The following is a 25,425-nucleotide window of genomic DNA, read 5'->3' as shown; positions in this document are numbered from 1 at the left end:
TTTTAATTTTTGTGGGTACACGGTAGGTATATACAATGTTACATTTAGAAAACAAAAATCTTGGCCAGGCGTGGTGGTTCATGCCTGTAATCCCAGCACTTTGGGAGGCCGAGAAGGGCAGATTACCTGAGGTCAGGAGTTCGAGATCAGCCTGGCCAGCATGGTGAAACCCCATCTCTACTAAAAATACAAAAATTAGCCAGGCGTGGTGGCACGTGCCTGTAATCCCAGCTACTCGGGAGGCTGAGAGGCAGGAGAATTGCTTGAGCCCGGAAGGCGGAGTTTGCAGTGAGCCAAGATCATGCCACTGCACTACAGCCTGGCCGACAGAGTGAGACACTGTCTCAAAAAAAAAAAAAAAAAAAAAAGGTCGGGCGCGGTGGCTCACGTCTGTAATCCCAGCACTTTGGGAGGCCGAGGCGGGTGGATCACCTGAGGTCAGGAGTTCGAGACAAGCCTGGCCAACATGGTGAAACCCCGCCTCTACTAAAACTAAAAAAAAAAAAAAAAAAAGTAGAAAACAAAAATCTTGGCCATGCACAGTGGCTCACACCTGTAATCCTAGCACTTTGGGAGGCTGAGGTGGGCAGATCCCTTGAGTCCAGGAGTTCGAGACCAGCCTGGGCAACATGGCAAAACCCTGCCTCTACTAAAAATATAAAAATTAGCCAAGCATGGTGGCACGTGCCTGTAGTCCCAGCTACTCAGGAGGCTGAGCCGGGAGGATCACTTGAGCTCAGGAAGCAGAGGTTGCAGTGAGCCAAGATCGCACCACTGCACACCAGCCTGAGCAACAGAATGAGATCCCATCTCAGGAAAAAAAAAAATCTTGGCTGGGCGTGGTGGCTCACGCCTGTAATCCCAGCACTTTGTGAGGCTGAGGCAGGTGGATCACAAGGTCAGGAGATCAAGACTATCCTGGCCAACATGGAGAAACCCCATCTCTACTGAAAATACAAAAATTAGCTGGGCATGTCTGTAATCCCAGCTACTCAGGAGGCTGAGGCAGGAGAATTGCTTGAACCAGGGAGTCACAGGTTGCAGTGAGCCGAGATCACGCCACTGGACTCCATCCTGGCGACAGAGTGAGACTCCGTATCAAAAAAAAAAAAAATCTTTAATTCCCCACCTACCCTACCCCTGTCACCACATTAAAGAAAGGTATGAGGGGCCAGTTGCAGTGACCCACACTTGTAATCCCAGAACTTCGGGAGGCCGAGGCGGGCGGATCACTTGAGGCCAGGAGTTCGAGACCAGCCTGGCCAACATGGTGAAACGCCATCTCTACTAAAAATACAAAAAGTAGCCAGGCATGGTGGCGGGCACCTGTAATCTCAACTACTCGGGAGGCTGAGGCAGGAGAATCACTTGAACCTGGGAGGCAGAGGTTGCAGTGAGTGGAGATCCTGCCATTGCACTCCAGCCTGGGCAACAAGAGCAAAACTCTATCTTTAAAAAAAAAAAAAAAAAGAAAAAACACAAACAAACAAGGTTGAGAAACACAGCTCTACCCTACATGTGAACCTTTTCTACATAAATATCCTGAATAGACAGCCATTAAACCTCTGCCTGACCTACTCCACTGTCAAGAAATATATCACCTCTGAAAGTCCTTTATTCCGTCATGAGTCTGCTCTACCTGTTACGAGATACTGCCCTATATCTACCTCTGTTTCTTGAAGCCACACAGAGATCTCCTTTCATGTAACAATCCTTCAAATATTGGAAGGGAACCAGAAAATCTTAGCCTTTTTTCCTCCAGGCAAAATATCCCTAGTTCATTTACTATCTCAAGTTGGAAAGCTTCAAGTCATCTTGCATCCTTTACACTTTATCTTCAGTCACCATATTCTATCAATGTTTTTTCCTTCAAAATGTCTTACTTATTCATTTCCTTCCCAATCCCACTGTAACTGTGAAGACCAGGCCTTCATACCTTTGAGGTCATTTTATCCTCCTAGCTAGTCTCCCTTATTCTAGTATCATCTCCCAAACCCCAATTCTTTTCCCATGGCTGCTAGACTCTTGTTATTTAAGCACTCCATCCACTGCATCCTCCTTCTTTCCAAGAACTTGCAGTGAACATCCCATTAGCCAAGGAACAGCACCTTACTTTTCACCCAGTAATCTCACTCCTATAAATGTACGCCAAGGGAAGAGTTTAAGAAAAAAATCTATATCATGAAGATGCTCGAGACTGTTATCTATTCCGACAAAAGAAACAAATTAGAAATAAATAATAGAGGCCAGGTATAGTGGCTCGCGCCTGTAATCCCAACATTTTGGGAGGCTGAGGTGAAAGGATCATTTGAAGCCAGAAGTTCGAGACCAGCCTGGGCAACATAGTGAGACCTTGTCTCTACAAAAACTTTAAAAATTAGCCAGGTTTGGTGGCACATGCCTGTAGTCTCAGCTACTTGGGAGGCTGAGGTGGGAGAATCCCTTGAGACCAGGAGTTCAAGGTTACAGTGAGCTATGACCATGCCACTGCGCTCCAGCCTGGGCAACAGAACAAGATCCTGTCTCTAAAAAAAGAGAGAGAAATAATAATAAATTATTAAATAAATTATGGTACTAAGGACTACAGTGCCACTATTAACAACATTATGTCGACTATGTGGAAACATGAAAATTATTATGCAATGTTAATTACGTATTCTGATTTTTTATGTCCACTATGTTTGCAACTCTATGGAAAATGATAAATCAATAAGGACAGATATTGAAAAATTAACACTCTAAAACAAATATAACAACATTAGTGTGGATTTGTGGGGCCTTTCCCATGCAAAATTCTTCGGTGAAAATAAGTTGTTTGCTGATAGGCATAACTGACCAGGCCCAAACAAAACGCACTGAAAATGTGAAAATATTTTAATAGACTTTAAAAATACTATTCATTTATTAGACTAAGCTGGGTAATCAAGCTATACAATAACAAGGCAATAACTAGTTACTACAGGCCTCAGAAACTAACGTTTAGCTAATTCTACCATATTTCACATTCCTGTTATCCTTAGTCACCTCCCAATATGTAAGCCCCTTTAGTCACTTATTCTTCCTTGTCTCTATGCTTCTTGTCCTCTTTCATTGATCCTATCCTTTCCAAATCTCTCAACTGCAGTATCCAGAACCTCTGTTCTGTGGTAACCTAAACATACACCTTCATATTCTACAAAGTATGCTTTCTCTGTCTTCTTACCTTAATCATATCCTAGCTCTCCTTCACCACCAAACCAGGACACTGTTTCCTCTGAATACATTTCCATATCTATCCCGCCTTAACAACTAGAAGTAAGCAGTGTCCTATACTAAGCTTCCCACTGCTAATGTGGAACAGAATATAAGCCCCTTCTTTGAGAAGGTAAATATAAAATCAGAAATAAATCCTACTTTAAGAAGGGAATCAGATTTAATTTAAAAGATAATATACAGGTCGGGCACAGTGGCTCATGCCTATAATCCCAGCACTCTGGTAGGCCAAGGCAGGTGGATCACCTGAGGTCAGGAGTTCGTGACCAGCCTGGCCAACATGGTGAAACCCCGTCTCTACTAAAAAATACAAAACATTAGCCGAGTGTGGTGGTGGGCGCCTGTTATCCCAGCTACTGGGGAGGCTGAGTCAAGAGAATCGCTTGAACCCGCTAGGCGGAGGTTGCAGTAAGCCAAGATCACGCCACTGCACTCCAGCCTGGGCGACAGAGCGAGACTCCATCTAAGAAAAAAAAAACCATAATATACAAAAATCAAATGGATCTTCTATTTAATCAAGTGCCATGGAAAAAAATTGCCTTAAGATTGTTTACAAATAATTTGTGAGCTACAGAAAGAACCTCATTAGTCAAGCTACTGCTAAAAGCTGAATTTGTTAGGCTAAATATTTGATTGCATTTTGCTACAGTCAGTTTTTCTCATGAGTCTGACTATCCCTTGCTTTTCTGAACACAACACAAAAGGTATCTTCAACCCTATTTCCAAACCATTATTCCTCTTTCCTTGTGTAAAAAACCCTTTCTCCTTTGTTCATACTATCCAGCTATACTACCCTCTATTTTTTTATCTTCTCATATCTCTGCTATCACTTGGAATCTTATCCAGATTCATTGAGGACCTTAGAACTCTGCATCATGTCCTGCCATCAATACCTCAGTTACACCAGTGTCCATGCAAATTATCCCAACATTTCAGCTTCACAGTTCCTTGACTTTGAATCAAATAACCTTCACCTTCACTCCACCTTAGTTACCCACTCCCACAGCCACACACTAGATTCTGTCATAACCTGAACTGAACCACACCAAAATCTATTATTTTTTTCTTTGTTATAACTTCCTATTCCAGCTTTTTCACAGACTCAACTCCAACTATAGCTACTCGTTTTTCAACATCAGAGACATTCAATCCCTTAATTCCTTTTTTAAATTTTGTAAATTTTTTTTTTTTGAGATGGAATCTTGTTCTGTTGCCCAGACTGGAGTGCAGTGGTGCAACCTCGGCTCACTGCAACCTCCACCTCCCGGGTTCAAGCGATTCTCCTGCCTCAGCCTCCTGAGTAGTTGGAATTATGGGCACGCCCGGCTAATTTTTGTATTTTTAGTAGAGATGGGGTTTCACCACGTTGCCTAGGCTGGTCTCGAACTCCTGATCTCAAGTGATCCGCCCACCTCAGCCTCCCAAAGTGCTGGGATTACAGGCATGAGCCACCGCACCCAGCCAATTCCTTAATTTTTAACCTCCTTTTTCAGGTTTATCAGCCTTCTCCTGGCCTTATTTTCCTATCTAGACTAGACCACACAGCTGATCACAACTTTCTTGTACTCCATTCAACCAGCAAAACCCAAACTGATTCAATCTCATAATTTGCTTTCTCTTCTCCAACATCTAAGTGGAAGAAAACACAACTGCAAAGATTGGCATCATTCCAAATTGATGATTGCCAACTTCTGCTGGGCCCTTAATGACGCTCAATAATCCTTTTACTTGTCTTTAACCAGCTCTTTTTTTCTCCCTGGCTGTCCTAAGCAGCTAACACCCTCCTGGAGTGTCCTACTTAATTCTATTCTCTAAATCATGCTTCTTATTTTGAGAAATTTAACATTCTTAGGCACAAAGTATTTTAATGTCTTGCCCTTTCTTCTAACTTTACAAATAAATCTATATATCCACCTATCCATGCATCCTCTCCCCAGTCTTAGAGGATAAATGGTGCCTCCCAATTCCTAACCACCCATTCAAGTAAATCTCACTACCTAGTTTTAACCCAATACCTTCATATTTCTTCTGGAATCTTGTACCATCAATTATTCCCAATCTTTTCTCCATTTTCAACTTCTCCCTCTTCTCCACTGGCTCCTTCGACTCCATCTATAAACACACTCACGTTTCTCTCATTTTAGAGGCAAAACAAACAAACAAACAACTTCCCCTGGTTGCCAGTCCCCCTACAGCTCTCTCTACAACTTTTTATTGGTCAAACATTTTGAAACATATTCTATACTCATTGTCTTGACTTGACTTTTCACTCACTCCTCAACCCACACAATCTGACTTCTACCTCCCCTGAATATATTTCCATATTCCACCTTAACAACTAGAAGTTGTTCCACTGGAACTACTCACAAAGGAAGCCAAAACCTCTGTATTGTCAATTCTAAAAGAAACGTTTCTTGTCCGTATCCTTCTGAACCTTCCTGGGATACTTGGCAACATCATTCCTTCATTCTTTATTGATATCCTATATTCCCTTTGTTTCCTTGGAACTATTATTCTCCTGGTTGTTTTTATACTTCTGGCAATTTCTTAAGATTCCTTTAGACTGTCCTCCTTCTTGGCCTGAGAATTAAATACTGTGCATTCCCGAGTTCTGTTTTTAGCTTGCTGTCTGTTCCCTTCCTTCCTTCCTTCCTCTCCCCACCCCTCTCATTCTCAAATATACGTGTCTGAATGTGTATATGCATATTAGGTTGAACCACAGCCAACTGCCAATCATTAACCATCTCTGACGTACAAAAAATAGCAATTTCCTATGGTCCAGCCTAATGTTTAAACAGCTCTTTAGCGTGGAAGAATAAGAGAAGAAACAAAGAATAACCCAATTAGAAGATTGAGACAGAATTGCAAAAAAAAAAAAAAAAAAAAATTCAAACTGAAGTCTCTGAAAACTTATTAGCTGGGAGAATTGGTGTGGATGTCATGTGAATGATGATATTGGTCAGGATGTAAAAGTTACAATTAGCATAAATAGACCTCAAATCCAAGTTAATATGATAGGTAATTAATCAAGTGCCATTCAATTACGACAAACGCTAACCAGGACAACATGTTTCCTGTCAATGTGGCCAACAGTAAGTGATTTAAGGTTAAAAAAAAAAGTTATAAAAGAAAAATTACTTAATTGCCCCTCTTCTAGAATAGGAATAACCATTCTATAAGAAAGTGGCTCTCAAACTCATTCAGGTAGAACTTCTGGAAGCCATATTGGTCTTCTTGGAGACCACTCCAAAATAGTAACATATTATATATAAGGTTGGAACAATTTTACTAGCAGAAAACGACTATTACTATAAATATAAAATATGAATGTCACAGGGAGTTTTGTTTGCTTTGGTCACTACTATATTCCCAGTGTCAAGAAGGGTATTTAGTAGGTGCTCAAAAAATATTTGTGAAATGAATAAATGTATCTACAAAAATATAAACCACAACAATCAAACTAAGTATTTCTCAGTTTGTTTGTTTTTATTAATATGCATCTGCCACTTGTTCGTTCACTATGTCATTTGCTACAAGTGGAAACAGGTCAGGAAAACTGTATGCAACACAGCCTTAAAAAAGGAACATTCTATGCATTAACTTTGAGTTGAGTGATGCAGTACCTCAAAGCCCAGGTCCAAGAAAATCCTGTTATAAAACCATTGCTGTAATATCAGTTTGGAATTGTGTACCACTAGCAATAGAATAATACATCCTATTGAATCTAAGCAAGACAAGTTTTTGTTACCTTGAAATAAATGGTTGATGTAAAGAAGAGCTGCGCTAGATGGTCAAAAAGAAGTGGTTTCACCTCTAGGAATCAAAAAAAAGATTATTCAAAATCCTTTCAATCATAGTACGTTGAATCAAATGACTCCAAATTTTCATGATACATACCAGAGAAGCTACTAAAAGGAATCCAGCTCACAAGCTGAAGGAACTGTGACCGACAACAAAGGCCATCCCAGAGAGGAAGGCTCTTATACAGGAATGCTTCACAGGAATAAAACCCCTCCTGTAACACAAGTGAATAGTAAATCCTTATATGGAACTCTTCAGTCATAAAATTATGCTCTAAACAACCAGTTTATTTTGTGCTATAGTTGCTTCACTCTTAGACTAATTTTTTGTCATGAATATAATAAAAGCCTTAAGTTAGGTGCCAGACTTCCTCAGAAAAAGGATGAGATGATTAGTATTTGCATACATTACCATTTTTATCAATACAGTTCTCAAATACCATAAAACTTCATCAATTGGAAAGAAAGTTAAAAGTTATAGAATATTTTTAAAAAAATAAGATTTATTATCTTGGGGTACATGCAGTAATTTGAACAGTCAATAAAATGTATACAATATTATGTAATAGGGCTAGAATTTCATTAGAGGCCATAGACCAAATCCCAACTCTGAGCAGCTCCATCTTTAGAGGCTCAAATGTCTAGGTTGCTTATATTTCCACCAGAGTGAGGATCTGGGACTTCCCTTTTTTCCATTGTCACCTAAGCTTTTCACAGTGACATGCACCAGGACTCTATCCTAAGACCTTCTTTTCATGACATGAATTCTCTGGACAATCTCATCCATATCATAGCTAAAACCACTTTTAACATGAGGGGTCCTAAATCTGTATCTCTAGCTCAAATCTCATTCCTGAGCTCTAGACTCATTATTTTACTGCGTACTGGATATGACCGCTTTGATGTCCCATTAGGCATCTCTTAAGTGAAACATCTTTCCTTCCAAGACTGCTCCTCCTATATTTCTTTTCTCAGTGAATGCCATCCATCTTCCCAAGTAGGAAACATAAACGTCAACCTAAATTGCTATCCTCACTACCATCTCTGCACCCAGCTTCCAATTAAATGGTTTCACACCAAATCCCTAAAACTTGGGCTGGGTGTGATGGCTCACACCTATAATCTCAGCACTTTGGGAAGCCAAGGCAGAAGGAATGCTTAAGCCCAGGAGTTTGAGACCAGCCTGGGCAACGTGGTAAATCCCCGTTTTTACAAAAAAATACAAAAAACAAACACACAAACAAAAAAATAGCCAGGAGTGGTGGTGCACACCTGTAGTCCTAGCTACTAACTAGACTGAGCAGGGAGGATCAATTGAGCCCAGGAGGTCAAGGCTGCAGTAAGCCATGATTGTGCCAGTACACTCCAGCCTGGGCAACAGAGCAAGACCTTGTCTAAAAAAAAACAAAGAATTATTCCACAAACATTTATCAATCAAGCTGAACATCTATACATGAAGAAAAGTTAGACATGGTTTCTGCCTGCTGGGAGCTCGTAATGTGTGGATGCTAAAAATGTCACGATAGAGGTAAGCACAGGGAGCCATGGGAGCACATAGAACAAGGAGCTAACCCACACTGGGCAATAAGTGAAGGCTTCTTGATGGTGCTGATACCCAAGCTGCAGCTTAAAATACAACTCAGGGTTACCCAAACCAAATAGTCCATTGGCTGGAACATATCTGATGCTCAAAAAATGTTTGTTGATTGTAAGAATATAAGTAGTGACCCTATGAAATTTACATTACTGGCTAATTCAGTTAACTGAATACATTTAATTACATCTTCAGTTTGTTCTCTTAAATTACAGGCTTTTCCCTTTTATTTGCATAATATAACATATTCTTTCTTCAAATCTAACAGTGCAAAGATAAAACTCAGCTTTATCTATAATGAGCTTCAAACTGAACAAATATTATTTACAAAAGATGTCAGGTACTAAAAAAAAGGGTTTTTTGTTGTTGTTGTTTTTGAGACAGGATCTCACTCTGTAACCCAGGCTGCAGTGCAGTGGCACAATTACGGCTCACTGCAGCCTTGACCTCCTGAGCTCAAGTGATCCTCCTACCTCATCCTCCTGAGTAGCTGGGACTACAGATGCATGCCACCATGCCTGGCTAATTTTTGTATTCTTTGTAGAGATGGGGTTTTGCTGTGTTGCCCAAGCTGGTCTTGAACTCCTGGGCTCAAGTGATCCACCCGCCTTGGCCTCCAAAGTGCTGAGATTACAGGTGTGAGCCACCGCAGCCGGGCAAGAAAAGGTTTTCAATGGATATCTAAATAAATTTTAGTAAAGAGTGGTGGAGAGTGGAAGAAGCAAGTGAAATCTTACTTGTAAGAAGCACTCTGCCCTGATGATGGTATCCAGGAAGTTGGTAAATTCTTTTCCATGTTCATAATTATTCACCTTGTACCAAATACATTCTAGAGCAGAAACAGTAAATATAAGCATCTAGTTGTACCACAATAAAAAAGTGCACAAAACATAATTATCACTAAAGTGACAAGTGACAAAGTAAAAAAGCCATAAGTCTCATACATCCTAGCTAACTCATGATGTAGACTGGAACAGTCACATGGAGATGATAGTGAGATATTCCTCAACAACTTGGTAATATAGGGAAAAGCTTATAGTGTAAATATAGGGAAAAGCTTATAGAAATGGAGAGAATTCACATATAATGAATATGATAAGCTTTATATCACATAGCAATCCAAGAAAGTACAAACATCTGAATTGAAAGTTTTAGAATACCCTAAACTTCAATTAGAGTATGCTGGGTATAATGTAAGAGTGATACAAATTTAGTACATGGAAATCTAATAAACTATATCATATTCTGTTTAAAAGATTCAGAGAAGAAGAAGAAGAATTGGCCTGGAACCAACTAAAAGCAACTTTAACCACCAGAAGAATCAGGAGTTGCTTATCCAGTATCCAGTAAAGAAACACTCAAATTTGGTCAAAAGAAATATTATCTCTAGAGAAATATACCCGCCCCTCCCCACCGACCCCCACCATTGGAGGAATGAAATGCTCAGGCTTTACTATGGCTTGGATGAAAGACTTCTCACTGCCCTTTCCTTTAATTCTATAATTAAGAAATCTTCTAATGACAAATTTGGCTCCCATATATGCTGATAGCAGAGGGGATACTCTAGTTGGCAGATATGAGCATTTCGCTTACCAGAAATAATTAATTTTATAATAAGCTGACATTCTGGCTTGTACATTTGTCTCTTCTGAGTTTCGTTACCATTAACAGGATGATTCTGGGGCCCTAACAGCAAGTTTCTGAACATACAAAGATGAAGAATCCTTGGATTGTGATAGTCATCAAAGTGGAGCCACCCAGTGAGTTTTGGTGGCCATCTAGCAGTGTTTCCTTAACAAAATCCCTCTACCTTCTTACTGCCTTAAAATTACAACAGAAACATTCATGCTCTAAATATAAGATTACCACAGACATAATTACAGCATATGAAGGCTCCTGCTGTCTAGAATTTGGCACCCTTATAAAAGAAACCCATTTGTTAACTATCTTGGTCCATCCTCACTCAATTCTTACCTTCTTGTAATGTTTGACTCAACCAGTAATAAAACCTCAGCAAGACTGGCTCATCTCTGACACAGTTAATGTAGTGAAGCAGCAGAGAGTTGTTTAGCACTGAGCCCATCTGAGAAGGCAGCTGCAATGACAGAACAACCGATCAACAGTTAAGTATCTGAAAAGTGGATAAGGGAATCGTCATATAGAAAATATATAACAAAAATAGGCTGGGCATGGTGGCTCATGCCTATAATCCCAACACTTTGGGAGGCTGAGGCAGGAGGATCACTTGAGCCTAGGAGTTTGAGGCCAGACTGAGCAATATATTTTTAAAATAATTTTTTTTTGTTTTGTTTTGAGATGGAGTCTCGCTCTGTCACCCAGGCTGGAGAGCAGTTGCTCCATCTCAGCTCAGTGCAACCTCTGCCTCCCAGGTTCAAGCGATTCTCGTGCCTCAGCCTCTTGAGTAGCTGGAACCACAGGCATGCACCACCAAGCCCGGTTAATTTTTTTTTTATTTTGAGACAGAGTTTCGCTCTTGTTGCCCAGGCTGGAGTGCAATGGCGCGATCTCGGCTCACTGCAACCTCCGCCTCCCAGGTTCAAGCAATTCTCCTGCTTAGCCTCCCAAATGGCTGGGATTACAGGCATGTGCCACCACGCCCAGCTAAATTTAGATTTTTAGTAGAGGTGGGGTTTCTCCATGTTGGTCAGGCTGGTCCCGAACTCCCAACCTCAGGTGATCTGCCCGCCTCAGCATCCTAAAGTGCTGGGATTACAAGTGTGAGCCACCGCGCCCAGCCCAATTTTTGTATTTTTTAATAGAGATGGAGTTTCACCATTTTGGCCAGGCTGGTCTTGAACTCCTGACCTCAAGTGATCCGCCCACCTCGGCCTCCCAAAGTGCTGGGATTACCGGCATGAGCCACCGTGCCCAGCCTGATATAAATTGTTTTAAAAATTAGCCAGGCGTGGTGATGCACATCTGTAGTCCCAGCTACTTAGAAGGTTGAGGTGGGAGGATCACATAAGCCCAGGAGTTCAAGGCAGCAGTGAGCCATGATCACACCACTGCCTGGGTGACAGGTAAGACCCTATCTCAAAAAAACAAAACAAACAAACAAACAAAAAAACAAAGGCCATGAAATTCAAATAGAAAATGCAAAGAAGCACATGGTCCAGTCACATACCTCTAAGCAATGGATGTTCTGTAAAAGTTGGGGGAAGCTTTGAAGTTGTTCTAGTGGAAATGATCCACTTCTATTCAGACAATCAGAAAGACTCATCTCTTTTTTTCCACATTCTTTAGTGTAGCTACTGGAATTGAGCACTGGTATAACTGAGAGAGAATTCCACTTCTGAAGAAAGATAATAAAATAATCTATCAATGGACTAAACAGACTACAAACCACAAATATAAAAGCAACTGGTAAGGTGTTTCAATTAAAGGAATCTGAATATGGCTTACACAGAATCCTGGGTAACTGACATATACTTAAATATCTATAATCTCCTCTAAGATCTGAATGGTTATTATTTGGATTTAATAAAAGAAAGCCATGCAAGTTGTTTGAGCTTTAGATACTTACTCTTTTTAGAGGACGAACATTAGCTGGACCTAACATCAACTTCAGAGGTTCTGGAGAAGGTCCCCGGTTTCTTTGCTTCACGGCAAGCAGAGCCGTCTTCCATAGATTCTCTGAATTCTTAAAATATATCTATAAATTTGGATATAAAGTACAAGAGAGTAGGTACCCATAAACTGAAGCAACATAAAGTCTAAAATGCCTCATTAATTGAAAATATATTATGAAATCCTTTACACCCATACAAATGCACTTAAAGTATTTTTTTTTCTGATTAGTAATCTATTAAATATACCAAATGGGATCAACACGAAGTACCAATTCCTAAAAAAAAACTTTCCCAAAACAGTACCACAATACTAGACAGTAAAACAGTAGGCTGTAAACATTTTAGTTGAAATCTGTAAGTTAACTTTACCAAAAATAACATATTTCAATCTTAATATGATTTCTCTCTCCTTAATCCCTTACCTTCTTCCTTACAGGCAAAGATACTGAAATCAGAGCAGGAGCAAAGAACTTATACAGTGACAACAAAGCCTGGAGATGAGGCTGCATTCCCTGAAATAAAATAAGTTTTCCATTTTCAATTCTGTGGCTATTAAGAAACTGAGGAAACAAATACCAATAAGAAGGAAAAAAGTATATTCAGACCATAATTTCGCTGAGATATAGCTATAGGAAGATGCTATCAAAAATCAAGGAATGAGTAACCAGACATTTAAGTCAACCACCATAAAACAACCCTCTCCAAACTGTGATCTTCTCTCTTAGGACCTTTTCCAACTTTACTTCTTCCTTGTATTTTTCTCTTCTCTTCCTATACCTTAGGCTGACCAGTCATACTTACTAGCATAGCATAGCTTATTCTCACTGGTAGCATACTCAGGACTCAAAGTTTACTCATCCTTGATTTAGACCTCAAGGAGACAGGACCAGAAGAGAAGCTAATACCTGATTATTATAATTCTTGGAAAATTATCTAGGAAATTACAATTGGTATGCCATAATCAAGCAGCTTTGATATAACTGAAACAAGTCTTAACAAAAGCACTAATTTCACAACGAAAGATGTGATTACTGCTAGATACCTGTTTTATACATCTGGCTATCCAGAGAAAACACACCACTAAAATGAATTCTAAGGAAGTAACCAAATTGTTTTATTATACTAAAATTTTATTGAATCGAATACTGCACAAAGGCAGCAAATGAGGCTTAGAAATACAATATTTCCATTTTATAACAGCTTCTTGAAATTAAATTTATTAAAACAAAACCAAAATGACCCAGTTTATCTATGTTGAAAATATCTCCTAACCTCTGTACACCCATTATTAATGAGTATCAGAGTGTTTGTTTTGAGCTAGAATGCTTTTTAGAGAATACTTAGTTGTGCTGAGGCCTTTAGAACTTATAGTCTAGTTAATTAAAACTATCTTTTTTGTTAAAAAGTTAATACTAAAAAAGGTAAGGGGGAGATTTCCAGTTAAAAATGGCATATCGAACATATGATTAATTCTGGGTTCTCCCAAAGCCCCATTTAAAAGACAGTAAAAGAATGAAAAAGGTGGCTGGGCACGGTAGCTCATGCCTGTAATCCCAGCACTTTGGAAGGCCGAAGTGGGTGTATCACTTGAGGTCAGAAGTTTGAGACCAGCCTGGCCAACATGGTGAAACCCCATCTCTACTAAAAATACAAAAATTAGGCCGGCTGTGATGGTGCACACCTGTAGTCCCAGCTACTCGGGAAGCTGAGGCAGGAGAATGGCTTGAACCTGGGAGGCAGAGGTAGCAGTGAGCTGAGATCGCATCACTGTACTCCAGCCTAGGTGATGGAGTGAGACTCCATCTCCAATAAATAAATAAAAGAAGAATGAAAAAGGATAAAGCAAAGCACAAGTTCAAAGAGAACAAGAGAGGAGATAACAGCATATGAGAAATCTAAATAAGATTTTGGAACCTAGAATGAAGATGGTCAAATAGTAACCAAGTTAGCAGAATAGATAAAATGAAATCTAAGGTATCAACAGAAAAAGCCTCAAAAAAATCAGATTCATGCTTGACAACTCCCAGAAAGGATCAAGAGTTGAGGGACCACATATCTCTAAAAAGTGGGGATGCAAAAGGGACAAGAAAACAGGAGTATTGCATGAAAGGCTACATAAGAAGCAGTTAGAACCCCAAATTCCTTCACTATACTGGCAAAACATTAGGGCTTTACTCTGAAAATGAAGCTGGACTCGGATACCAGGCACAGCCAAGGGAGGATACCAAGACCATTTCTCACCCCTTTCTAGTGCTCAGGTCTCAGAGTGCCAGTAGCCAGGTTTACACCCTGTGATGATGTATTAGCCCACTCTAACACTGCTATAAAGAACTGCCCAAGACTGGGTCATTTATAAAGGAAAGAGGTTTAACTGACTCACAGTTCCACGTGGCTAGGGTGGCCTCAGGAAACTTACAAACATGGCGGAAGGGGAAGCAAACACATCCTTCTTCACACGATGGCAGGAAGGAAAAGAATTAGAGCTGGGCGAAGGGGAAGCCCCTTATAAAACCATCAGATCTCGTGAGAACTCACTCACTATCACAAGAATAGCATGGGGGAAACCGCCCCCATGATTCAACTACCTCCCATTGGGTCCCTCCCACGACATGTGGGGATTATGGGAATTATAATTCAAGATGAGATTTGGGTGGAGACACAGCCAAACCATATCAGATGGTTAATTTTAAGTGTTGATTTGGCTGGTCCACAGGCTGCCCAGATATTTGGAGAAACATTATTTTGGGTGTTTCTGTGAGGGTTTTTTAGATATGTTTAACATTTAAATCAGTAGACTTTGAATAAAGCAAATTGACTGCCCTCCGCAATGTGGATAGGTCTCATCCAATCAGTTGACAGCCTGAATAGAAGAGGTCCCAGAAGAAGAAGAAAATGTCCAACAGACTGCCTTCAGACTTTATTTGCAACAGCAGTTCTTCCTGGTTCTATAGTAGACTGCCACTTAACTCAAACTGGAACATTGGCCCTCCTGGGTCTCCAGCCTGCTGGCCCATCCGGTAGATTTTGGACTTACCAGCCACCATAAAAAAATCAAATGAGCCAATTCCCTATAATATTATAAATACACACACACACACACACACACACACACACACACACACACACACACTTGATTCTATATGTACAACCGTGCAACCACATAAGACAGGAAACAGGAGAATTCTGTTTTGAGAATATTAACATAGTCATCTGGGAGGATCCTCAACAAAACATCAAGATCCTACAATGAACAAGTCCTGCTCATACACACAAGTTTCCAATCATCATGTTAGTGTTTTACTTTTAAATATGAACAAATAAGCTTTACCAAGCATTGGTGAGCAGTGGCTCACACCTGTAATCCCAGCACTTTGGGAGGCCAAGGCGGGAGGATTGCTTGAGCCCAAGAGTTTGAGACCAGCATGGGTGACATAGAGAGACCCTGTCTCTACAAAAAATTTAAAAATCAGCCAGGCCTGGTGGTGCATGCCTGTAGTCCCAGCTACTCCAGAGGCTGAGGAGGGAGGATCGCTTGAGCCCAGGAATTCACGGTGGCAGTGAGCCATGATCATGCCACTGCACTCCAGCCTGGGTGACAAAGTGAGACCCCCGTCTCTAAAAAAAATTAAAATAAAATTTAAATTTAAAAAGTATCATAAAAGACCAAACAATCTAAAAACAGAAACTATGAGGAAACAGAGACAAAGCTTGAAACAGAAAAAAATCACAGCCCAAAGTGCATACACACAGGCTCATGCCCGGTAGAGGGAGAACCAACCCTTAGGATGAGACCTAATTCCCCCTTCTTGTTCTAAAGATTGCTCTGGACAGGGCCTAGTGTATGTAGGAAAATGCCCCACTTCCTACTATTCATGTCTGCTACCAGAAATACAATTTTTGTGGTTTTGTTTCCTTCATAGATTGGGAGCTATGGGGCATGGAGGGGGATAGACGGGATATATGCCTTTGCAGGTATCAGAAATTCGCACATCCAATGTATTTCCTCACATATGTTGACTATGCCTGTTACTATCATGCATGTTAGGTTACATATGAACATAGCTATGCCTTCTTGGTTTGATATTGTTGGACTTACCCAAATTCATCAAAATTCAGCTAATCAAAACAATGTTATGTATGCATCTTTATAAATGGGTACTTACTGACAATGGAATAATTTAGTGATGTACTGTATAGAGTGGTAGTAATGAAACCAGACATTTAGTGTCTCCGTTATAAATTTTTAGACAATCATCTCATAAATCATTTTTTACTTGAACATACACTGTGTTTCAGCTAATACAAAACAAATCAGCAAGATCTTTTGTTTGTTTGTTTGTTTGTTTGTTTTTTTGGAGACGGAGTCTTGCCCTGTCGCCCAGGCTGGCGTGATCTCAGCTCACTGCAACCTCCGCCTCCCGGTTTCAAACAATTCTCCTGCCTCAGCCTCCCAAGTAGCTGGGATTGCAGGTGCCCACCATCACGCCCAGCTATTTTTTGTATTTTTAGTAGAGACGGGGTTTCACCATGTTGGCCAAGATGGTCTCGAACTCCTGACCTCGTGATCTGCCCGCCTCGGCCTCCCAAAGTGCTGGGATTACAGGTGTGAGCCACTGCACCTGGGTACTAAGATCTTTTATTATGGTAAGAATTGTCTTATTCCATTGAAATGTTTTGCTGTAACATGGGAAAAGGTACATTTTTTTCATAATTTCTATTAATGTGAAATAAAATTCAAATTGGACAAAAATATTACCATTAATATCTTCAGAGAACTAAGAAAAAATAATCGTACCCATGGAACTAAAACAGAAGGCTACAAAAAAAGAATAATCATTGAACTGCACTAAGAGGAGACCTCACATTGGAGAAGCACAAATGTGTTCTGTGTTTGTGTCTTTCATTCAATAAATGCCTATAGGTAGGCCATGAAAGCTCCAGTTAGACATGACCACTATTACTTCCATTGTTTCATATCCAGAGCTTCACAGACTTCTGTTACCTGGCAGGTAAAGTGGAAATAACAATGCAGAGAGCTGTAAGGACCAGAGATAACAGTCAGAGAATATACTGAAGTTTAAGCATCCAGAAGATAATGTCTTAAAATGCTTTCCTAGGCCAGACTCAGCGGCTCACACCTGTAATCCCAGCACTTTGGGAGGCCAAGGCAGATGGATAACCTGAGGTCAGGAGTTCGAGACCAGCCTGGCCAACATGATGAGACCACCATCTCTACTAAAAATATAAAAAATTAGCCTGGCGTGGTGGTGCGCGCCTGTAGTTCCAGCTACTCGGGAGGCTGAGGCAGGAGAATCGCTTGAACCCGGGAGACAGAGGTTGCAGTGAGCTGAGATCGCACCACTGCACTCCAGCCTAGGCAACAGAGGTAAACTCCATCTCAAAAAAAAAAAAAAAAAAGCTTTCCTAGATCACATCCGTACAAAATATAAATTCATTTATGACCACTCCCTAACACTTACTGTTCCAGCCATACCAACCCAGCTCCCTAAACAATGTTTGCTGTTTGACATCTCCATGTCTTTGCTCATGCTGTTCCCTCTGGGAGGAATGCCCTTCTCTCCCTTCTTTGCCTACTTAAATCCTATTCATCCCTTAAAAATTCTCTCAAGCAGGCCGGGTGCAGTGGTTCATGCCTGTAATCCCTGCACTTTGGGAGGCCGAGGCAGGCAGATCACCTGAGGTCAAGAGTTCGAGACCAGCCTGGCCAACATGAAACCCCGTCTCTACTAAAAATACAAAAAATTAGCCAGGCATGGTGGTGGGCGCCTGTAATCCCAGTTACTCAGGAGGCTTAGGCAGGAGAATTGCTTGAACCCAGGAGGCGGAGGTTGCAGTGAGCTGAGATTACACCCCACTGCACTCCAGCCTGGGCGAAAAGAGTGAAACTCCATCTATAAAATAAAAATAAAATAAATAATTCTCTCAAGCATCACCACTTCTCCTTGACCCCAAGTCTGATTCTGATTTTTCATTTTGTTCACTGAGCTCCCCAGAAAATAAGTTCCTTAAAGATAATGAGTGATAGGCCAGGCGCGGTGGCTTACGCCTGTAATCCCAGAACCTTGGGAGGCCGAGGCGGGTGGATCACCGAGGCCAGGAGTTCCAGACCAGCCTGGCCAACATGGTGAAACCCTGTCTCTACCAAAAAACACAAAAGTTAGCCGGGTGTGGTGACGCGTGCCTATAATCCCAGCTACTCGGGAGGGTAAGGCAGGAGAATCGCTTGAACCTGGGAGGCGGAGGTTGCAGTGAGCCAAGATCATGCCACTGCACTCCAGTCTGGGCAACAGAGTGAGACCCTGTCTCAAAAAAAAAAAAAAAAAGATCAAGAGTTATTTGATTTTGTATTCCCAATGCCTGGCTCAGTACCTGGCACATAGTACATTGGCAGGTCTTAGGTCTTTTCAGTACTCACCATTTTGGCCTGAAGATCAAGCAGTTTTCTCACACGAAATGGTTTGACTAGAAAACATAAAGGAAAGACGTACTATGCATTTGGATTCAGAATAAAAAGAAATTGGTTATATTTAACCACCATGCAATTCATACAGTTTCTTCTTGTAACATATCAAGGAAATAAATACCTGTTCAGTTAAGCCATTAAGCAGATGCTCTTAAAGTACTAAAAAGCAATTTCCACAAAATGACTTCTGTCATATAACTAATGCTAATAGTTATTTTAACTTTATAAAGGCCAATACAAATGCTAATTCTACAAAGTATAATACAACTGTAATGAAAATACTCACCATTCTCTTTTTTGGTAAGTAAATATAACAAATGGCAAACATAAGGGCACTGTTAAAACATAAAAAAATATTAAGAGAAATGATAATATGTCTTGAACAGAGGGGCAACACATTTTCCTCAAATGTCAATCTTACGCTGATTAAGTAAAAAACCTTCAGGACTTCACTGAACAATAGTTTTACAAAGAGTCTCTTTTTCCTACTGTATAGTGATAAAAAAACAATAGTTTTAATCAGCATTTCATTAGGTCATTTTTTAGTTATTTTTGGAATGTAAAGGTATTGCAGACAATTTGAAAAACAGAATTACCTATCATCCTCCTACCTAACAAAAATTAATGTATTCCTTTCAATATTTGCATGTATGTATTTAGTTACTAAATTCATACAAATATTGAAAGGAATGCATGAATTTTTGTTATTCCTTTCAATATTTTTATGTATGTGTATTGTTAGTTGGTGGAGACAAGGTCTCACTATGTTGCCCAGGCTGGTCTCTAACTCCTGGCCTCAAGTGATCCTCCTGACTCAGCCTCCTAAAGTACTAGGATTACAGGCATGAGCCACTGCACCTGGCCCATACTTATTAAGACATAAACTTGAAACTTTTATCCTGATTTCCTATTTAAAACCATTTTCCCATGTTGTTTAGTCTTCAAAATTATCATTTTCAATGATGCTTCATATTCCAGTCAGTATATATACAAGAATTTAGTTAACAGCTTAGTCTTCAGTTTGGCAAACAGTATGCACTCAATTTGCTAATTAAATTATTGTATGACTGATTCCCTTCTACCATTTCATTTTCAGTGTCCATCTGTTGAGGTCTTACTCTAGATCAGGGGTCAGGAAACTATGGTCTACCTGTTTTTGTAAATAAAGTTTTATTGGGACACAGCCACATCATTCATTTATTTATTGTCTACAGCTGCTTGCACACCACACCAGCAGAGTTGAATAGTTGTGACAGAGACAATATGGCCTTCATGCTCAGAATATTTACTACCTATCCCTTTAAGAAAAAGTTTGCCAATACCTTCTCTAAATAATAGGAAAGTGAAAAAATATTTAATAGTACTAGAGAAAGCAACAAGAGCAAAGACTTTCTTTAAACAAATTTGTATTTTTGTAGTCATGACTCTAAACTTTAAAGTCTAAACTACAGCATATTCCATACTGCCTCTTCTGTACTTAGAAATGGTTTGAGAAAGAATCTAAACATACTTTTAAGAAGCATGAATTTAGATATGGAATTTTTATTTTATTTTTTGAGACGGAGTTTCACTCTTGTTGCCCAGGCTGGAGCACAATGGCATGATCTCGGCTCACTGCAACCTCCGCCTCCCGGGTTCAAGCGATTCTCCTACCTCAGCCTCCCAAGTAGCTGAGATTACAGGCATGCACCACCACACCCGGCTAATTTTGTACTTTTAGTAGAGACAGGGTTTCTCCATGTTGTTCAGGGTGGTCTCGAACTCCTGACCTCAGGTGATCTGACCACCTTGGCCTCCCAAAGTGCTGGGATTACAGGTGTGCGCCACCACACCTGGCCGGAATCTTTTTTTAAAAGAAAGAATACATGTTATGACCACATCTGCCATATACTACACAGAGAATAGCAATTTTCAGTATAAAAAATGTGTTATGTCATATGCTTAAGGATATGAACTACTAGCAATACTATCATGTTGAATATGAAATGAGTGTTACACAATCACTTGCCCTAGACTCCATTATTATAGGAAATCTGACATTCTCTTTTAATCACATCTAGAAAGGAAAAACTCATATATTTTAATCATTTTACAATTGCCTTTCTGGCAAATATTTAGGTTGGTGCAAAAGTAATTGCAGTTTTTGCCATTTCAATGGCAAGAACTTTAATAAGTACTTGGGTTATAAAAGGCTCAGTCCCTGACTGGAAGAACTCAGTCTATTGAGCTGTTAGAAGAAAGCAGAAAGCGTCTCTTCTTATTTCCTATTCTTTACAAAGTATGTTTAAACACAGAATTCATTTGTATTGCAATTTGGTCAGTTTATGAACAGAAACAATATGAGGTTAAGAGAGATGTCAAAGGTAAGAGAGAGACAATGACATACCACTTGTCATTCAACCACACCTGTGCACCACAGGACATGGAACAGGGATGAGCATCCTGCATCCTTACTTTCTATCGACACTTCCAAGGTTACCACTCTTTCACCGTTGTATAGAAAAAGACCTCCTCTGAGACTTAGTTCACCCAACTTTACTACCTCTACCTTACCTATACCCTGTCAGCTCACTACTAACCTAGTACCTTCCCCAAAATTCCGTGAGGATTTGGGCATCTCACTCAGTTTTCAGCTCTAACTCTAATCCCAATATCATGCCAGATGACTTTAATGTCCATATCAACAAATCACCGTGGTCTTACAGTTTACTGACCTCAATTCCAATGACCTGATAACCATCTATAGAAATATTGTGTATTAGATACTCTGAATGACCCTGACCGCTTTCCTGCCAGCTCAGCAATGTTTTTGACATCATATCCAGCTGTTGAAGCATGTTTCAGAGCTGGCATGAAAGCAAGAATCTGCAGTTCCCAAAAACAAAGTGAAAGTAGAAACACTAAATATTGAACAAGCTTTCTCACCAAGATTTTTTGCCAAACCTTAGAAACTTTGAACTTACGACTTTAATAGCTACAAAGGGAGGCAGGGATAGGTTAGGCAGGGGATAAAGCTTAGGACCCACCCAATGTGTAGATTATGCAGAGGATCTATTATAATAAAAAACTGGAATCCCCAAGAGCTACACACTAAGTGTATGGTTGTGAAATTAAAACTCCACTGTGTTGAACAGGACAGCAAGAAAACTTGCTTGTCCTGACCTTGGAAATGGGTGAAAGGAAAATAAAACCTTTCCCAAGAATTTGTAACCAGAAGCCAGCTCAAAAAACGTCTGCAGTTTGGCCAGGCGCGGTGGCTCATGCCTGTAATCCCAACACTTTGGGAGAGCAGGCAGATTACCTGAGGTCAAGAGTTTGAGACCAGCCTGACCAACATGGAGAAACCCCGTCTCTACTAAAAATACAAAATTAGCCAGGCATGGTGGTGCATGCCTGTAATCCCAGCTACTTGGGAGGCTGAGGCAGGAGAATCGCTTAAACCCAGGAGGCAGAGGTTGCGATGAGCCAAGATCGCGCCATCGCACTCCAGCCTGGGCAACAAGAGCAAAAAACTCTGTCAAAAAAAAAATTATATATATATGTCTGCAGTTTGAATTTACACTAGTGGGATGGCCTGGAAAACCTAAAGAGAGTAACTTAAAGTGGCTCTAACTTTGTAACTCTCAGGTAAATCATATATCTTGTATCTAGGGACTTGTATCTAGAATACAGAAAGAACTCTTACAACCCTATAGGATAATGAACAACCCAATTTAAAAGAGGGCAAAGGATCCTAAGAGACATTTCTCCAGGGAGGGTATACAAATGGCCAATAAGCACATGAAAAGTTGCTCAATATCATTAGTTATCAGGGAAATGCAAATCAAAACCACAATGAAAGACCACTTCACACCTACTAGCATGGCTATAATCAAGTCAGATAAAATAGCCAGTATTGGTGAGGATGTGATGAAATTTGAACCCTGTTATAGACTGCTGGCAGGAATGAAAAATGGTACAGCCACTGTGGAAAAGAGTTTGGCGATTCCTCAAAAAGCTGAACATAGAATTGCCATATGATACAGTAATTTTTTTCCTAGGTATACACTCAAAGGAACTGAAAAAGCAGGAACCTGAACAGATATTTATATACCAATACTCAACACAGCACCATTCACAATAGCCAAAAAGTGAGAACAACTCAAATGTCCAACATCAGATGAATGGATAAACAAAATTAGATATAGTCATCCCTTGTTATCAGCAGGGGATTGGTTCCAGGACTTCCCTTCCCCGCCACCATATCAAACTCTGCGGATTCTCAGGTTCCTTATATAAAATTGTGTAGTACTTGCATATAATCTATGCACATCCTCCTGTATACTTTAATCAGGGGGTGCCCAGTCTTTTGTTATCCGGGCCACATTGGAAGAAGAATTGTCTTGAGCCACACATAAAATACACTAACGATAGCTGATGAGCTTAAAAAAAAAACCCCCCAAAAATCTCATAATGTTTTAAGAAAGCTTATGAATTTGCGTTGGGCCTCATTCAGAGCAATCCTGGGCTGTGGGTTGGACAAGCTTGCTTTAAATCGTCTCCGGATTAGTTATAATACTTAACATAATGCAAATGCTATGTAAATAGTTATTACACTATATTTTTTATTTGTATTATTTTTTATTGTTATATGTATCTTTTAATATTTTCAATCAATAATTGGATGAATCCATGGATGCAGAACCCTCAGACACAGAGGGCTGACTGCATATATATGAAGTAGAATATTATTCACCCATAAAAAGGAATGAAGTTCCGATACATGGTACAAATGGATGAACCTTGAAGACATTATGTTAAGTGAAAGAAGCCAGACACAAAAGGATAAATACTGTATGAATCCACTTATATGAGGTACCTAGAATAGGCAAATTCATAGAGACAGATAGTAGATTAGAGGCTACCAGGAGCAGGGGAAAGAGGGAATAGGGAGTTACTGCGTAATGGTTAGAAAATTTCAGTTTAGGGTAATGAAAAAGTTTTGTAAATAGATAGTGGTGATGCTTGCATGACACTGTGAATGTAATTCATGTCAATGAATTATACACCAAAAAAATGTTTTAAAATGGTGAGAGTCAGGCACAGTGCCTCACATCTATAATTCCAGCACTTTGGGAGGCCGAGGCAAGAGGATTGCTTAAGGCCAGAAAATCAAGGCCAGCCTGGGCAACATAGTGAGACTCTGCCTCTAGAAAAACTTTAAAAATTAGCCAGGCATGGTAGCACATGCCTGTAGTCCCAGCTACTCTGAAGGATGAAGTGGATGACTCATTGTATGATATGCGAAATAAATTTCAATAAAGCTGTGTTTGTCTTTGTTCTTTTTTTTTGAGACAGAGTCTCGCTCGTTACCCAGGCTGATCAATCGAGGCTGCAGTGAGCCATGATAGTGCCACTGCACTCCAGCCTGCACAAGAGTGAGACCCCATCTCAAATTTAAAAAAAAAAAATAGAAATAATGAAAAAAATAAATGGCCGGGCTCGGTGGCTCAAGCCTGTAATACTAACACTTTGGGAGGCCAAGGAGGGCGGATTACCTGAGGTCAGAGATTTGAGACCAGCCTGGCCAACATGGCGAAACCCCATCTCTACTAAAAATACAAAAATTAGCCAGGCGTGGTGGTGCAGGCCTGTAATCACAGCTACTCGGGAGGCTGAGGCAGGAGAATCACTTGAACCCGGGAGGTGGACGTTGCAGTGAGCTGAGATCGCGTCATTGCACTCCAGCCTGGGTGACAAGAGTGAAACTCTGTCTCAAAAAATAAATTAAAAAAAAAATTTTTTTATGTACTAATACACCAGGCGTAGTGGCTCATGCCTGTAACCCCAGCACTTTGGGAGGCCGAGGCAGGCGAATCACCTGAGGTCAGGAGTTCAAGACCAGCCTGACCAACATGGAGAAACCCTGTCTCTACTAACAATACCAAAAATTAGCCAGGCGTGGTGGCACATGACTGTAATCCCAGCTACTCAGGAGGCTGAGGCAGGAGAATCGCTTGGACCTGGGAGGCGGAGGTTGCATTGAGCCGAGATTGCACCACTGCACTCCAGCCTGGGCAACAAGAGTGAAACTCTGTCTCAGGGGGAAAAAAAAAGTACTAATACATGCTATAACACAGATGAAACTTGAAAACATTTTGCTAAGAGGCAAGTCATAAAAGACCACATTATTACATGAGTTCATTTATATAAAATGTCCAAAATAGGCAAACCTATAAAGACAGAAAATTAGATTAGGGGTTGCTTAGAGCTAGGGGGGTAATAGAGAGATGGGAGTGATAGCAAAGGGTGTGGGGTTTCTTTTTTTCTTTTTGAGGTGATGAAAATGTTCTAAAATTGACTATGCTGAAATGGTTGTACATATCTGTGACTATACTTAAAATCAGCAAATTGAATACTTTAAATGGGTGAATTGTATGGTATGTGAATTAAATCTCAATAAAGCTGTGTTTGTTTGTTGGTTGGTTTGTTTGTTTTTTGAGACAGAGTCTCGCTCGTCACCCAGGCTGGAAAGTGCAGTGGCGCAATCTTGGCTCACTGCAATCTCCGCCTCTCCAGTTCAAGTGATTCTCCTGCCTCAGCCTCCCAGGTAGCTAGGATTAGAGGTGCCTGTCACCATGCCTGGCTAATTTTTGTATTTTTAGTAGAGATGGGGTTTCGCCATGTTGGCCAGGCTGTTCTCAAACTCCTGACCTCAGGTGATCT

At 40.3% G+C, this 25,425-nt stretch overlaps 1 protein-coding gene across 17 annotated transcripts in view; it reads right to left on the bottom strand.

Annotated features, from left to right (window-relative positions):
- The window catches only part of CENPI (centromere protein I), an 83,656-nt gene that overhangs the window by 42,403 nt on the left and 15,828 nt on the right, over positions 1 to 25,425 (bottom strand). For 16 of the 17 annotated variants that reach the window (XM_017029383.2, XM_047441951.1, XM_047441955.1 and 13 more), the window contains 9 exons: positions 19,007 to 19,055; positions 18,673 to 18,719; positions 12,659 to 12,748; positions 12,191 to 12,319; positions 11,792 to 11,959; positions 10,621 to 10,741; positions 9,384 to 9,475; positions 7,150 to 7,267; positions 7,001 to 7,065 (listed from right to left, as the gene is read on the bottom strand). In XM_017029383.2, the coding sequence (XP_016884872.1) occupies positions 7,001 to 7,065; positions 7,150 to 7,267; positions 9,384 to 9,475; positions 10,621 to 10,741; positions 11,792 to 11,959; positions 12,191 to 12,319; positions 12,659 to 12,748; positions 18,673 to 18,719; positions 19,007 to 19,055 (879 nt within the window). Of the gene's footprint in view, positions 1 to 1,493; positions 2,526 to 7,000; positions 7,066 to 7,149; positions 7,268 to 9,383; positions 9,476 to 10,620; positions 10,742 to 11,791; positions 11,960 to 12,190; positions 12,320 to 12,658; positions 12,749 to 18,672; positions 18,720 to 19,006; positions 19,056 to 25,425 lie in introns of those variants that run through there. The other variant, XM_047441956.1, reaches the window with a different exon arrangement.

Source organism: Homo sapiens, chromosome X, assembly GCF_000001405.40.
Source record: "Homo sapiens chromosome X, GRCh38.p14 Primary Assembly".
Taxonomy (NCBI): domain Eukaryota; kingdom Metazoa; phylum Chordata; class Mammalia; order Primates; family Hominidae; genus Homo; species Homo sapiens.
Note: the sequence above shows the minus strand (reverse complement) of the source record. Positions and strands in the feature narration are given on the sequence as shown.